At 35.4% G+C, this 16,213-nt stretch overlaps 1 protein-coding gene across 15 annotated transcripts in view; it reads left to right on the top strand.

Annotated features, from left to right (window-relative positions):
* ANKRD31 (ankyrin repeat domain 31) overlaps positions 1 to 16,213 on the top strand; it is a 168,582-nt gene that overhangs the window by 116,877 nt on the left and 35,492 nt on the right. For 14 of the 15 annotated variants that reach the window (NM_001164443.1, NM_001372053.1, XM_017009319.2 and 11 more), the window contains 5 exons: positions 1,705 to 1,867; positions 3,321 to 3,436; positions 7,402 to 7,489; positions 12,385 to 12,481; positions 14,784 to 15,774. In NM_001164443.1, the coding sequence (NP_001157915.1) occupies positions 1,705 to 1,867; positions 3,321 to 3,436; positions 7,402 to 7,489; positions 12,385 to 12,481; positions 14,784 to 15,774 (1,455 nt within the window). Of the gene's footprint in view, positions 1 to 1,704; positions 1,868 to 3,320; positions 3,437 to 7,401; positions 7,490 to 12,384; positions 12,482 to 14,783; positions 15,775 to 16,213 lie in introns of those variants that run through there. The other variant, XM_017009322.3, reaches the window with a different exon arrangement.

The raw sequence follows: 16,213 nt of genomic DNA, 5'->3' as shown, positions 1-16,213 counted from the left end.
TTTTTCTCCCCAAAATATCACATCCTCTTTGACCTTAGTTTCCTTTTAGCTAAAATGATGGGGTTTCGAAGTTTCCCTCTATCTTTAATATTCTGTGAAGTTTGTCATTTAGTATACAAGTGGCCAACAAACATATGAAAAAAATGTTCAGTACCACTAGTCATCAGAGAAGTACAAATCAAAGCCAGAATGAGATATCATCTCGCACCAGTCAGAATGGCTATTATTTAAAGGTCAGAAAATAACAGATGCTGGTAAGGTTGTGAAGAAAAGAGAACACTTGTACACTGTTGGTAGGAATGTAAATTAGTTCAACTACTGTGGAAAACAGTTTGGAGATTTCTCAGAGAACTTGGAACTACCATTCAACCTAGCAATTCCATTACTGGGTATGTACCCAAAGGAAAACAAATTGTTCTACCAAAAAGACATATACACTTGTGTGTTAATTGCAGCACTATTCACAATAGCAAAGACATTAAATCACCCAAGGTGACCATCATTGGTGAATTGGATAAATAAGATGTGGTACACATATACCATGGAATACTATGCAGCCATAAACAAAAAATCATGTCCTTTGCAGCAACATGGATGCAGCTGGAGGCCATTATTCTGAGTGAATTAATGCAGGAACAGAAAAATCAAATTCCACATGTTCTCACTTATAAGTGCAAGCTAAACATTGGGTACACATGATCATAAAGATGAGAACAGTAGATACTGAGACTACGAGGTAGGGGAGAGAGGGAGGACGGCAAGAGTTGAAAAACTCTCTGTTGAGTACTATGCTTACTACCTGGGTGATGGGATAATTCATACCCCAAACCTCAGCATCATGCAATATACCCATGTAGTAAACCTGCACATATATCATTTGAATCTAAAATAAAAGTTGAATTTTTTTTTAAGTTTGCTATTTAGAACACATATTTCTGTATGGAGAATATTAAAATGGGTATTAGGTTTCTAAGCTAGTTCATAAAACGTCCTGAACAAGTAGAGTACATAAAATATTGTCTAAATAGAATGTTATTCAACTATGTCTAATCACAATTTATAATGTTGTTTGTAATATAGCCCTGAAGCAACTCTTACCCCACTTTTCTACCCTATCCTCCAGCAGCTTGGGGAAAGACAAGAGGCTGTGTTAGAGAGATAAATTAAATCCTTCTGGGCGTCAGAAATTCCACGTTAAGATGCAAGTGGCTTAATCTGCACAACATCTAGATCTGTGCTGCCCAATATAGTAGCTACTAGGTACTTTTGCTATTTAAATTTAAATTAATTAAATAAAAAATTGATTTCTTCAGTCACATTAGCCACATTTCAAATGCTCAAAAGCCACATGTGACTAGTGGTTACCTTATTGGACAGAGCAGATATAGAACATTTTATTATCACAGAAAATTCTACTGGGCAGTACCGATCTAGAACTGAACCTCCCTATGCCTACTTCTTACTGCAATGAAGGCAGCATATTGTACTTTCATGTCTTTGTGTTTGGTTCTCTTGTGAGGACTAATCAGTCCAAATTGGATTAGTTTGCAATTGCCACATCAATTTTAATAAAAAATTTTCTTGACCTGAGTTTGAAAACATTCTTTTGATAGCTTTTAATGCTTGGCAGTGGTGTTTGTGATGAAAACAGAAATTATTCATCTTTGGTGTCTGTAGAGATAACTTTGAAAAAATACTTTGTAGGCAGCTGAGATTCTACTACAAAATGGAGCAAACCCTAATCAAAAAGATCAAAAACAGAAGAGTGCTTTGGATGAAGCAGATGATGAAAAAATGAAAGAATTACTAAGATCTTATGGTGCTATTGAGACTGTTAATAGAGATGAGAGTGATGCTATAGTCAATGGTATGTATATCAATATTGCTGCTATTTTATATAGAGATATATCTCTGCTTAGGAAAATCTTCTGATTTGTTGTGTAAATTGTTTCATAACTGGGATAGATGTGTCCTATGTTTATTAAACTCTTCAAAAGCCATTATTTATTTTTAGAAATTGGCATTTACAATTTGGTTTAATTTATAGATCATATGATCCTACTGGATTGGAGTTACATGTTGAAATGAAACCTATAGCATTCATCAAGCAAACATTAATGTCCCTAACATTGGGTTTGAGATAGAGATGTAATTGAAGCCAGGCAGATCAGTTTAGTTGTAGTAGGGCTGGAAAAGGGCGACATTATACTGAAGTTTTTGCAACTAAGAGGAATATAACATATATTACAATGAAAAGAATATTTCAAGGGAATGTACAATCAGGAAAAATTTTATGAACCATTTTAGCAATACTTTATATTTTATTAAGTATTGAGGGGAGGGAATTGTTCTTCCTTTTCCCTCATGCTCAAACCTTGACTCATAGAAGAAGATACTCAGGAATGTATCTATATTCTCACCATGAGGGAGAATGCTGGGGAGAGCAATTGTGTCACACACTTCTCCCCTAGCCTACCAACATCCTTACCAACTGTTGATTTCCAAGGAAGAATTACCGATATAATTCGTCAGAGCTAAGGATATTCATTGTGTTATATTTCACCAGAGGGCTAGATCATGGATAGGTCAAGGTCAAGAGTGATACAAATTTCCTCTTTTCGTTGCCTGCTTCCATATAGTAAGTCCATAGGGTCAGGGTCTTTCTTAGAGGCCCAGCCATTTCACTCTCCCTCTTCACAGCTATACCTGAAAGTTCCCATGATTTAGATTAGCTCAGCTTATCAGGGAAGTCTGCATTTGGAGTTGTTGATAGATCTATTATAAAGTGATAGATCTATTCCCACATATCTACTGTTTCTTGTTTCCTTGATCAGGTACCCCAAAGGATGAAGAATATAGGGTACAATGATAATATAGAGAAAGGGAATCCAGAATGGGAGTAGGGTCCAAGAGAACTTTACAGAGGCAATTAATCCAGTCATATTGGTTAAGAGCATGGACTTTGGAATCAGATAAGATCTGGTTTCAGTTCTAACTGTGTGACATTGGGCAACTTCTTGAACCCCTCTAAGCCTCACTTTCCTCTTCTATAAAATGGATATAATAAACTACCTACTTCACAGGTTCATATGAAGATTAAATAAGATGATTTATGGAAAGTTTTTGGCACCCAGCATATGACAAGTGCTCAGTAAATGCTAGCCATAAGTAGCCAATTAATGACGATGATGAGTGTTGGTTAAGATATTATAATAGTTGCAGACTTGACTTATCCTTCTCATCCCCATCACATTAAAACTGAAAAATGAAACTATATTTTTGCACATTCTTATTATATTTTCTAATTTTACTTTTTAAAGAAAAAATTCCTGCTGTCCGGTCTAAAAGACATAAACAGTGTTTTTGTGATGATGGCAAAACTATTGACTCATCTTCCCTTTCACACCAAGAAAGATCAAGAGAAAGCCTTTCTGTGGTGAGTGAAGTTAAAATTACTTTGTTCTTCATCTTAGAAAATGCCATTCTTTGAGCCAGCCAGTTAGTTATTGGCTAATGGCAGTACTTTCCATTTTAATGATACAAAGATAGAAATTTTTTATTTATTTTATTTATTTATTTATTTTTTATTATTATTATACTTTAAGTTTTAGGGTACATGTGCACAATGTGCAGGTTAGTTACATATGTATACATGTGCTATGCTGGTGCGCTGCACCCACTAACTTGTCATCTAGCATTAGGTGTATCTCCCAATGCTATCCCTCCCCCCTCCCCCCACCCCACAACAGTCCCCAGAGTGTGATGTTCCCCTTCCTGTGTCCATGTGTTCTCATTGTTCAATTCCCACCTATGAGTGAGAATATGCGGTGTTTGGTTTTTTGTTCTTGTGATAGTTTACTGAGAATGATGATTTCCAATTTCATCCATGTCCCTACAAAGGACATGAACTCATCCTTTTTTATGGCTGCATAGTATTCCATGGTGTATATGTGCCACATTTTCTTAATCCAGTCTATCATTGTTGGACATTTGGGTTGGTTCCAAGTCTTTGCTATTGTGAATAATGCCGCAACAAACATACGTGTGCATGTGTCTTTATAGCAGCATGATTTATAATCCTTTGGGTATATACCCAGTAATGGGATTGCTGGGTCAAATGGTATTTCTAGTTCTAGATCCCTGAGGAATCGCCACACTGACTTGCACAATGGTTGAACTAGTTTACAGTCCCACCAAGAGTATAAAAGTGTTCCTATTTCTCCACATCCTCTCCAGCACCTGTTGTTTCCTGACTTTTTAATGATTGCCATTCTAACTGGTGTGAGATGGTATCTCATTGTGGTTTTGATTTGCATTTCTCTGATGGCCAGTGATGGTTAGCATTTTTTCATGTGTTTTTTGTCTGCATAAATGTCTTCTTTTGAGAAGTGTCTGTTCATGTCCTTTGCCCACTTTTTGATGGGGTTGTTTGTTTTTTTCTTGTAAATTTGTTTGAGTTCATTGTAGATTCTGGATATTAGCCCTTTGTCAGATGAGTAGGTTGCAAAAATTTTCTCCCATTTTGTAGGTTGCCTGTTCACTCTGATGGTAGTTTCTTTTCCTGTGCAGAAGCTCTTTAGTTTAATTAGATCCCATTTGTCTATTTCGGCTTTTGTTGCCATTGCTTTTGGTGTTTTAGACATGAAGTGCTTGCCCATGCCTATGTCCTGAATGGTAATGCCTAGGTTTTCTTCTAGGGTTTTTATGGTTTTAGGTCTAACATTTAAGTCTTTAATCCATCTTGAATTGATTTTTGTATAAGGTGTAAGGAAGGGATCCAGTTTCAGCTTTCTACATATGGCTAGCCAGTTTTCCCAGCACCATTTATTAAATAGGGAATCCTTTCCCCATTGCTTGTTTTTCTCAGGTTTGTCAAAGATCAGATAGTTGTAGATATGCAGCGTTATTTCTGAGGGCTCTGTTCTGTTCCATTGATCTATATCTCTGTTTTGGTACCAATACCATGCTGTTTTGGTTACTGTAGCCTTGTAGTATAGTTTGAAGTCAGGTAGTGTGATGCCTCCAGTTTTGTTCTTTTGGCTCAGGATTGACTTGGCGATGCGGGCTCTTTTTTGGTTCCATATGAACTTTCAAGTAGTTTTTTCCAATTCTGTGAAGAAAGTCATTGGTAGCTTGATGGGGATGGCATTGAATCTGTAAATTACCTTGGGCAGTATGGCCATTTTCACAATATTGATTCTTCCTATCCATGAGCATGGAATGTTCTTCCATTTGTTTGTATCCTCTTTTATTTCGTTGAGCAGCGGTTTGTAGTTCTCCTTGAAGAGGTCCTTCACATCCCTTGTAAGTTGGATTCCTAGGTATTTTATTCTCTTTGAAGCAATTGTGAATGGGAGTTCACTCATGATTTGGCTCTCTGTTTGTCTGTTGTTGGTGTATAAGAATGCTTGTGATTTTTGTACGTTGATTGTATATCTAGAAAACCCCATTGTCTCAGCCCAAAATCTCCTTAAGCTGATAAGCAACTTCAGCAAAGTCTCAGGATACAAAATCAATGAATTTTTTTATTATAAAAGATAAGATGGTGAACAGAATGGGCTGGAAGTTATGCTATGTGGTTAACTCTTAATTATCTGCTTTGAATACAGAATTATGGAGTAGCTGCTATCCTTTATACCTAGTTTGAGTTCTTTGGCTACTTCTTGTCCATAGACACTGCCACTGTCATAAATGTGTCTTCACTCACTTCCATAAGTGTCTAGGAGATACAGGATGTAGAAAAGATTCTGGAATCCAGACAGAGAAGAGGATTAAGCAGCCTGGTTTAGCTGCCCTCGATCCCATATGGTTTATAGTAATAAACTTTGCTGCGAAACCCATCATGTAAAGGTAACTTTTGAAAAAAAAGAACATAGCAGTTGCTTAATAAGATATACATATTGATTGAAATTCTTAGTTGGACAAAAACACAAAGCTTAACTAGACACAAAATCTTAACCAAGGTAGCATCCTCAATGAAACCTTGTTTTAGATAAGTCTTGGCCCACAGTGTCCGAGACTGAGTACATCTACAATATGAGCAAAGGAGAAAGGAAAGTTGGCACCAAAAGATGTTTTCTTTATCCTAATCTGTGGATAGAGCTTAGCCTGAGCACAAATTCTGGCCTTTTGTTTGCTTTTATAACCATAAATCATTCACTGTATGAAGCGGTAAACCTTAGTGTTGTTTTTATTTTTGCTTGTTTTTTATATTTGTATTTTATAATTTCACTTTGATGCATTTAATAAATGACAGCAGTAAGACTGTTTTACCAAATAATTAGGTTATTTTATTATGTACTTTTAAAATATCTTTTATGGGCACCAAAGTAAAATTTCAGGGCAACATACTTCAGAAGGCTTTGAGGACCTACATGTTTTAGAAATGAATGTGTATGGAGAGTATATTAAAGGATAGGTAATGTGAGTCAAACCATCCGTCATCATTAATGGAGCAATAGCTATGAACCCACAATGTTGAAACCATATACAAATATAAAAGGCATGCTTCTGCCTACAAGATCTCATTGTCCTGATGAGGAAATATAATGTACAAGACATTATTATGTTAGTGTTAAATTATGTAGCACCGAATTTCTTAATTCTGAGAAAAAGGAAATCAGCATGGATTGGATAAGTCAGAAGTTTCCTGTATGAGATGGGTTTTATATGATTATAATATTCACTATTTAGTGGATTCTTACTTTGTGCTGACATTGTCCTTAGCATTTTCATGTGTTATAGAATTCAGGCACAGAGAGGACAAGTAACTTGCTGGAGTCACCCAGATAGGAAGAGGTGAAGCTAGGATTTACACCCTGAAAGTCTGGTTCCAGAGCCCACTCCACGATTCTCTCTCTCATAGGGAAAGAGAAGGATCAGGGCAGAGTGAATTGAAAGCATTCCAGGCAGGAAGATTAGTACTGACAAGGACATGTAGGAGTGGTATTAAGTCCCCTTTGTGAATTTTTGAGAGCATAGTGTTTTGTATTTCTAAGATTATGTATAAGATTTTAATAGTGTGCAATGAAAATCATAAGGCCTTAAAGTGAACTTGTTATATGTATGCACTTTCAATGTTATGTGATTTATTTTTCTCCTACACCTATAGTTTCAACAGAAGTCAGTGAGAAATTGATTTCTTGTGATTGCTACTTTTACATTCTATTTTCCAGGAGATCTACTACATAATTCAAAATATATTTGTTTGCTTTTGTTCAAATCTGCAACATTTATACAGTTAAGCTTATACAACGTATGAGTACATTTTGAGCATAAAGAGGAATGAGCATTTTTAGGAACACTTTCTTTAGTATTTTATTTACTCTGTGTTTGTCAATGGCATATCAGAGAGCATATCTACCCCTTTATAATGAAGTTTCAAATATTTTTATCTGATAGCATCAGACCCTCAGTGCCATTCTACAAGATATAGAAGAAAAACAAGAATATTTATTAGAGTTTGAAATAAGAAACCCTGAAGATGCAGGTAAATATAGACTCATACTCAAGTATGATATTTTCAGATACCCAAGGTCATCTTCTTAAGGTACATATTTATTTCAAAGCTCACAAAGGCTGAAAAAGTGGTGTTCTATTTTTATGTGAGAGTATTTAAAGTGCTAGGAATTATTAATATCATTAAAAGTAGACTTACTTTAAAAGTAAGTCTCAAGTAGACTTGTAATGATAGCTAAAAGGCTGATTTTATCATGATGCAAACCAGTAGTTTGTGTTGTTAAAGATACTTCTAGATGCTGGCGGGCGCTTGTAGTGCCAGCTACTCGGGAGGCTGAGGCAGGAGAATGGCATGAACCCTGGAGGCGGAGCTTACAGTGAGCCAAGATCGCGCCACTGCACTCTAGCCTGGGTGACAGAGAAAAAAAAATACTTCTAGATGCAAAGTGTTGGATGAGTAATTTGAGAGACATTCAGAACTATGATCAGAGATAAGCTATACCAGTGATATGTTTAGATAATCCTATGACAGAAAATGTAAGATTGTGACAAGAGATGAGATTATGTTACCCTGTGTGTTGTCAGCTTCACCCAGCTATGGTAACCCTTAAAAGTAGATCAGAAATAGTGCAGTGGAAGGTGGTGCAGCAGTGACACAAGGTAAGCAAATCCTCCTACTTTCAGAAGAGCATATGTAACAGGTGGATGTCTTACTGCAAAGATATCTTCCTGTTTTCAAAACACTGAAGATTCAAAATAGCAAATTAGACTTTGATCACTGACCTAATAATCTTATTTTCTCAAACTTCAGTGAATATATGCAAGCCCTTGATGACTCACATATTTTTTGAGTTATGATTTATAAGGTGGAAAGTAGTTCCTGATAAATTCAGATCTGTGAATGTAAAAATTAGTTAAAAGTAGTAGCTAAAAGTAAGGTAATTTAAAGTACCTCATCAACCTTTTGTATAGCAGGATATAACTGTTCATCTCTTGTCCTAACTCATGTTTGTATAGTCTTTAAAAAAATCATCTCCTTTAAAATTTTGCACATTCTACTTTTCGTCCTGGCCTAACATGGTACGTGTTATGTTTGGAGGAAACTAATATAAAATAATTCATACCCCCAAACAAAAAAGTACAGTTAGTATATTTATTTCATTTACTATTTGTAATGTCTTTTGCATCCAAGATGATTTTTCCAAGTTTATAATTTTTTTCATTATGAAAGTCATACAGATATACTTCGAGAAAAAGAGAAAAATGCTAAAATTAGCTACTGTCCCATCACAATATTTTGTTGTTTTATTTCCAGGCCCCCCTCCCCACATTTTTTTTTTTGTCTAAGAACATAGTAATGCAATTGGACCTCAATAAAACTCTTAAAAACATAGTTTTGATCATGATATATATGGTAATTTTGCATTTTTTTCATAGTCTTCATTCTTAGTGTTTAATAAATGTTCCACAGCTTCCTAAATTTTTCCCTTTTTGTTGAACATTTGATTTCCAATTTTTTGCTGTTCTACAATATGTAGCTTTTTCCACACGTATTATCTTCTTAGGAAAGATTAACAGAGTTGTAACTATTGGTCAAATTATATAAGCATTTTAAATCTATTGATTTATATTGATAAATTCTATTTTATAGATAGTACTAATTTTCAGTTTGGAAGTGAAAATACTGATGCTACTAGCAGTGTACACATTAGTGTCTTTGTGTACACTGCTAGTAGCATCAGTATTTTCATTTTAAATAACCTTACGAGTTTAATAAGAAAAATATGCCTGATATTTTCATTTGCCATGTTGCTTATTAGTGGTGCTTTTTTTTTTGAGATGGAGTTTCACTCTGTCACCAGGTTGGAGTGCAGTGGTGTGATCTCAGCTCACTGGAACCTCCGCCTCCCAGGTTCAAGCCATTCTTCTGCCTCAGCCTCCCGAGTAGCTGGGAATACAGGCGCATGCACCATGCCCAGCTAATTTTTGTATTTTTAGTAAAGACAGGGTTTCACCATGTTGGTCAGGATGGTCTCGATCTCTTGACCTTGTAATCGGCCCACCTCGACCTCCCAAAGTGCTGGGATTACAGGCATGAGCCACTGCGCCTGGCCCAGTGGTGCTTTTTCACTAGTTTTATTCCCTATTTTGAGAACTGTTTCTGTTCTTTGTTTATTCATCAAGTGGAGCCTATTTATGTAATACAGTTATTTACTCCTTCTCTACCATAACTGCTGCAAATACTTTTTCAGCCACTTGTCTTTTTCTTTGCAATGTGTGTTAGTTTTTGTTTAAATATATACAATTACAAATTCTGTAGAGTAAAAATTCATTGGCCTTTTTCTATTTATTTGAATGCCTCTAAAATCAGAAACTTCTCCCCACCACCCCCAGGTTTTTGTAGTTTAATTTTATTATATTATAACCAGTACATTGAATAATCTTGATGCCTTTATTTTTGTCTTACTGCCCTTAAGGAAGGAGAGGTAAGGCAGTGGGACCCTGGAGCTCTTGGATGGTAACTAATTACTGACTGTGGTTGGCTCTGCCACTCCCTGACAGGTGTTTAAAACTCAGTCTCTGGAGAGCAGTTTTCTAAGACTCTTCTGAAATTTCTCTTTGGTCCATCAGGCTGGAACTTCTATGATGCGGGCAATACACATTGCCCTTTCCCTGTGCCCTCTCAGTCTTCTCTCAGCTTCTATTTTTTTTTTCTGATGGACCATCCTACACAGACTCTCACTCTCAGATGGAAGCCCTCATAGGCAGGGTCACAGGGCAGGCTTCACAACAAGTCCTCAGGACCTTTGCACCTCAGGCCCATTGTTAGAAGGGAAGACAATTACTTCTCAGCTCAGCAGCAACTTTCTTTTGGCCCTGCTGTGGTAGCTCCTCATTTTTCAAGGTCTCTAGGTGTTCAAGAAGGAAGCCAGATACCAATTCATTGTCATGTCAACTTAGAGTTCAGCTAGGTTCTCTAAATAATCTTTTGAGGAACTTACCCTATTAGGCTTGAGGTAAAGAAGAGAAGACCCTTTACCCCTTACTCTTGCTGCTGAATATGCAGATTCCCACTCAGGTAAACAACTGCTCTCTAAAGAAATCTTTTTTCAGACTCACCCTCCTCCACATCTGACACTTGTGATAGCTTTGATCTGGCTGAGGGATCTGAGTAATGAGTCCCATTTTGTACATTTCTTTGAAAATTTTTCTTAAAGAGACCTTGCACTCACTTTTCTATCAGTTGTCAACTGAACTGCTTCAACTGAACTGAGGCAGAAAATTGCCATTGTTAACATTTTGTATATTTTTCCCTAAGTATTTTAATGCATAATTCATCTGAAATTTTTTTCTGTATTTAAGATAAGGATAGAATAGGTTTACTCCGTATTACTACCCTATTACTCATCCCTATTTGTTGAATAATTTCTCTCATCCTCATTGTTTTGTAATGTCTAATGAAGTATTAAAATCTTACACATATTAGGACAATTCTAGATTCTCTTTAATATACCATTGATTAATATCATCTTTGATAAAGAAGTGTGTGATACCAAATTATATATAAAATTTATTTCTGTTGTTTCTTAGAGAAACATACAGAATATTTTAAGTTACTATAGTATGTTATTTTTACCTATGGTTTAAAATTCAGTTGGAAAAGCTGGGATGACAGGGCACATAGATAATTTAAAATGTCTTTTAATAAACAGTGTCAAATCTGCTGAACAAAATTATGTCTAAATTCTTATTGATTGTACACATTTTCCCCCTTTGTTAGCATATGCATCATGTCGTGAAACTAATCCTCAGCCACAGTATTAGGGCAATAGAAACTGCTCTGAGGACACTGACTCAATACTTACCAAATCATGTGTCTGATTTGCTGAGGGAATTTCTAAAACAAATTCTACCTCTGAACTTCATGTCATTTTCTACCACAGATTTTCTCAAGTTACTTTAACCAGAAAAATGTGCATTGGTCCAAAAAATTAGGAAAAATTTTAAGAAAGAAAGCCGAAAGTGAAAGAAACAACAAGTAGCTTAAAAGAATTAAAATATATGCATTTAACCCTTTCAGTTTCCTACTTGGGAATCTGGATTTGTACATAACCCACATTTATGGGTAATCATGTGGATCTGTGTTGGGAGAAAGGTCATTATGCCTTTACTTGGAAAGCAAAGGAAGAAAGTCGGGAAAATTTAAGTAATTATTGTAATGGTGGTTTGTAAGATCTATAGGTGACCTTAGGTATCATATAGTACAATGTAAATGTTATAAATGCAAAGAACAAGAACTGATAGCATGATTCTATTTTTAGAATTAAAAAATTCTATTTTTTAAGTGCATATAATGTATAATTATATATAGTGTAAGTATTTAAAATAATAAATATATAACACAAATTTTACAAACATACATACCCCTAAAGTATTAACAGTAACCACCCTTGTTGAATAAATTAGAGAAGAAGCAGTGGGGTGAGTAGGGATACTCTTACTTTTCATCTATGTAAATATTTATATGGCTTGAAAAAATTTTACAATGTTAATGTATTCCTTTTGTATTTTAAAAAAATGAAATAATTTTAACAAACAAAATATCTTCCTTTACTACCTTCATTTCACAGGTAAGAAAGCTAACCATATAAGTTACATGTCCAGGCTCACAGAACTTAGTGGGGCAGCAGGATTAGAACTCAGGCTGGCCTACTGTTTTACAGCATTCTTATCTATACACTTCAGGGCATTTCCATAGATTGACATTGTTAAATAAGCCTTAATTGAGATATCTGGGCTATTAATATTGGGGAAGATCATAGGGAATAACGCTTTTTAAAATTAACAATAGGGCTAATTCTCGTATGACCAAATTTGACATTCACTCTCCCTCAGTTAGCTAACTTTTTATTGTCATGTTTCTAGAACAATACATTGAAAAGATGTTAAAGATAAAAAAGATTATGGATAATGTGCTTGCCAAGCAGAAAGCAGAAAGGGATGATCTGGCTAAAAAATACAGGTGAGTAGAAAAAGAAAAAAAAAGAGTGCTTTTGAGTTTCTAGAATTTATCCATTTTTAGCTGCAATAGTTGTCTAGAATTTCTTAAGAATACAAACACTGCTTGGGGCCAAATAATGACTTTATGAGGTTGTCTAATCCGTTACTACCATGGAAAATTATACTTCCCAGAAAGGTATTTTTCTACACTATTACTTGGGATAGTCAAAAAAGAACATTTCGGTATCTTAAAAAGTTGTCTACAGTGGAGAATTTTATGAAAGCCTTTCTGGTTGTGAATCCCACAGGCAAATTTATTTCTTTAGCACACTCAAATTTTCTACACTAAAAAAGTTTCTTTTTTGCTGTCACAAACGTCCTTCTAAGCAGTTGATCAATCAGTTGATTAATTTTGTGTTTTATTGTATTTCTAAAATCTCAAGGTCCTTAAAGAGTTTTATCCTGATTATATTGGTTATATACCTCTTCTCATATTTTTTTGTGAAAAAAATGTTACATGTTTTTTTCTTGTTTGGGCATTATTTTTTATTAGTTTTTAATAGGCTTAGCTACTTACACTCCCTATTCTTTATTCACATTCAGTTTTCTAAACATGTCCTTATATATTCTTCTCCTATAATCATTTAATGTCTATTACATATTCAATTTTTTTCTGAACTTATTTTAAAAAATCAATTTTCTATTTTTATTTTTAATCCCCATTTTGCCTTCTTCTCCAGTGAATAGCTAACACAAGTTCCCTTCTGTTTCCTTCTTGTTTTCCTGTCAATATAAAGCAGTGAGCTTATATAACCTACATATGGGTAATTTTAGGGGACTTTGGAGAGGCTTGCTTGAATTTCCTTTAGTGTCCTGTGGTTAACCATGTACTATACCTGGAATTTTCAAAAGTTCCTGATCAATTGGAGTTTCAATACGTAAATTCTTATTAATATTGCTATGAGACTTCACATCTTGGTGTGGATAATCTTAAGTTTTGTGTCTGAACTCCTTGTTTCACATAGTTTTAAGTTTGATATTATGTATTTCTTTTGCATTTTATGCTACCAGTTGTTTGCTAATATGAATCCTTCTTCTTGCTGACTTTTTCACTTATGTATACTACTTCTTTTAACATCCAGTCTGCTGGGAATTTAGTATCAGCTCTAAACCTTGATAGGAGAGGCAAGATATATCTATATTATTGCTTTTCCTTAAAACAGCAGCTCTTAAACTGTGGTCCAGGGACCCATGGTGGGGTTCCTGAGACCATTTCACAGGATCTGTGAAGTCAAAACTATTTTTTAATAATAATAGTAAGATGTTATTGCTCTCTTGCTCTCATTCTCTCGTGAATGTACAGTGGAATTTTTCAGATGCCACATGATATATGATAAAGCCTGATAGAATGTGTTGTGTATTCTTTTGTTTAAAAAGTTTCTCAGTTTTAATTTCTAAAACAGTAAATACTGATAGATATTCATATACACAAAAGCTGTTTGGGTTCCTCAGTAATTTTGAAGAGTACAAGTAGTTCCCAAGACCAAAAAGTTTGAGAACCACTGAAAACAAAGTGTCCAATAATCTGAAGGTCAGGGTGGGATTGGTGGGCATAATCAAAAGACAAAAGTATGAAGATGTGAAAAGCCATTTCCTCTTTCTTAGTCCTCAAGGTCTTGAGAAATTCAGTTTGGGGAAGACACACAGAATGATGCTTTCCTCGGTAGTCCCTCTGGACTTGGAAGTGTCTTCATACAGGTTCAAAATACAACTACAGTAATTACTTGGGGAACTAACTTTTCTCAGGTCCAGCTGAAGTATGATTATTCACAAAACAATCTTGTTCTTCCAAAGCTAAGAGAACCTGAATAGAACTTTCAAATTGTACTTACTAATAAACAGGTAAGCAAGCCCCAAATTTAAAGAACGATGGCTCTCCTTAGCCACCAATTGCTACCTTCCAACCAACGACTAAATAGATGTTTAGATAGATGATCCAAGTTTTGTTTGTCTTTTAGAGTTGACTCCCAATTGATAATAATTGTATGAATATAAAATCTTGATAACCTTACTGTCACCTCCTTAAAAAAAGGGCACATTTACTTAAATAAAGGAATCAGCTTCCTCTCAAAGGAAATATTTTGCGTCAACAGGCTGCAGGTGGTCAGATTAAAAAAATCAAAGGCAGTAAATTGCACAGGCATAGTTTTGTGTATTTTAAAGTGATTAAAATTTGGAGACAAAGTATCTTTAACCTCTAAGTGACCGCTTTGAAAAGTTTTCTGCTGTTATTGCATTTTTTCTCTTTCTGTTTCTTCCTATAGGGTATCCATAGAGTCATTTAAGCATGGAGCCCTGAGAGAACAATTGGCCAACTTGGCTGCAAGACAGAAGAGCCTTTTAGTTGTGGCAAAAAAACAGAAAAAAATAAGCCTGAAAATTCAAAACTGTAGGAATGTTACATCATTGCCTTGTCTTAGTTTAAGGAAGCTCCCACCCAGATCAGAAATCTCTAGTGAAAAAGACAGCCAAGAGCTCACTAGTCTGGAAAATTTAGAGCATCCCCAATCAGGTTCACTTTCTCCTGTTTCTGGAAGCATGCAGGAAACACAATTGTCTCTGGAAACTTGGAACTACAGCCAAAATACCAACATTTGTCTAAATTCAGAGGCAGTGAGAAGGGGAGAATTTTCTGGAAATGATATGAATTCTAAACAAAATGGCAGTGATTGTACCTTGGATGGTTTTCCAAAATCCAGACATTCAGATGGCACAGAGAAGAATAAATTACCATCCCAACCTGTTGCTTTTATTGGTCAAACAGAATATTCACAGAAAGAGAATGATCTTACAGAAGCTACAGACAAAGACCATGAATTCTATGTTTCTTCCCCAGTAATCGGCAAATTAAATATTTCAGAAACTGCAAGTGTCCTTGCCGAAAATGCTGCCCATCCATCAAATATTATTTGTGATCAGGACCTTTCCAATTATGATCCCAAAAGAGGAAACAGAAAAACAAGTTCCCAGCAATCACCTACAGGGGCATCAGAATCTCTGGCACATCAAGGGATTGCTGTCTTAGGCAGTGATACAGTGCATCAGATGAAACCATATCTTAAAAAATCAGTTTCTGTTGTTCCATGTGCAGATGACAGTCAGATCTCCTCTTCCTCTGGATCTGGGCAACAAGATACAATAAAAAAGGCTTTAAACTACAGTACAGCTCCTAAAAAGAAATGTATTCAGATAAAAGATTTGATATTACTAGGAAGAATTAACCCAGGAAATAACATTCTGGAATTCAAAACACAGGTATTCTATATTTTTTTCTCTAAAATCATGCAAATTTTATAAATAAGTGAGTAAATGTTGCTGTCACATAATATAGACATTTAGCTCTGATTAGGGAAATGGGGTTTTGCTGAGCTTCCTGAATGGAGGGACACAACCATTGTATTCTTAGCAAGTGAATTCATATTTCTGGAATTGCCCTGATACATTTATTTTTATTTTCCTTTTTTTAATTTTAATTTTTAAGTTCCAGGATACATGTGCAGGATGTGCAAGTTTGTTACATAGGTAAATGAGTGGCATGGTGGTTTGCTGCACCTGTCAACCCATAACGTAGGTATTAAGCCCAGCATGCATTAGCTATTTTTCCTAATGCTCTCCCTCCCCCAACTGCACTCCCCAACAGGCCCCAGTATGTGCTGTTCCCCTCCCTGTGTTCACGTGTTCTCATTGTTCAGCT

The sequence above is a fragment of the Homo sapiens genome, chromosome 5 (genome assembly GCF_000001405.40).
Source record: "Homo sapiens chromosome 5, GRCh38.p14 Primary Assembly".
NCBI classification, from domain to species: Eukaryota; Metazoa; Chordata; class Mammalia; order Primates; family Hominidae; genus Homo; species Homo sapiens.
This window is presented reverse-complemented; position numbering and strand designations above follow the sequence as displayed.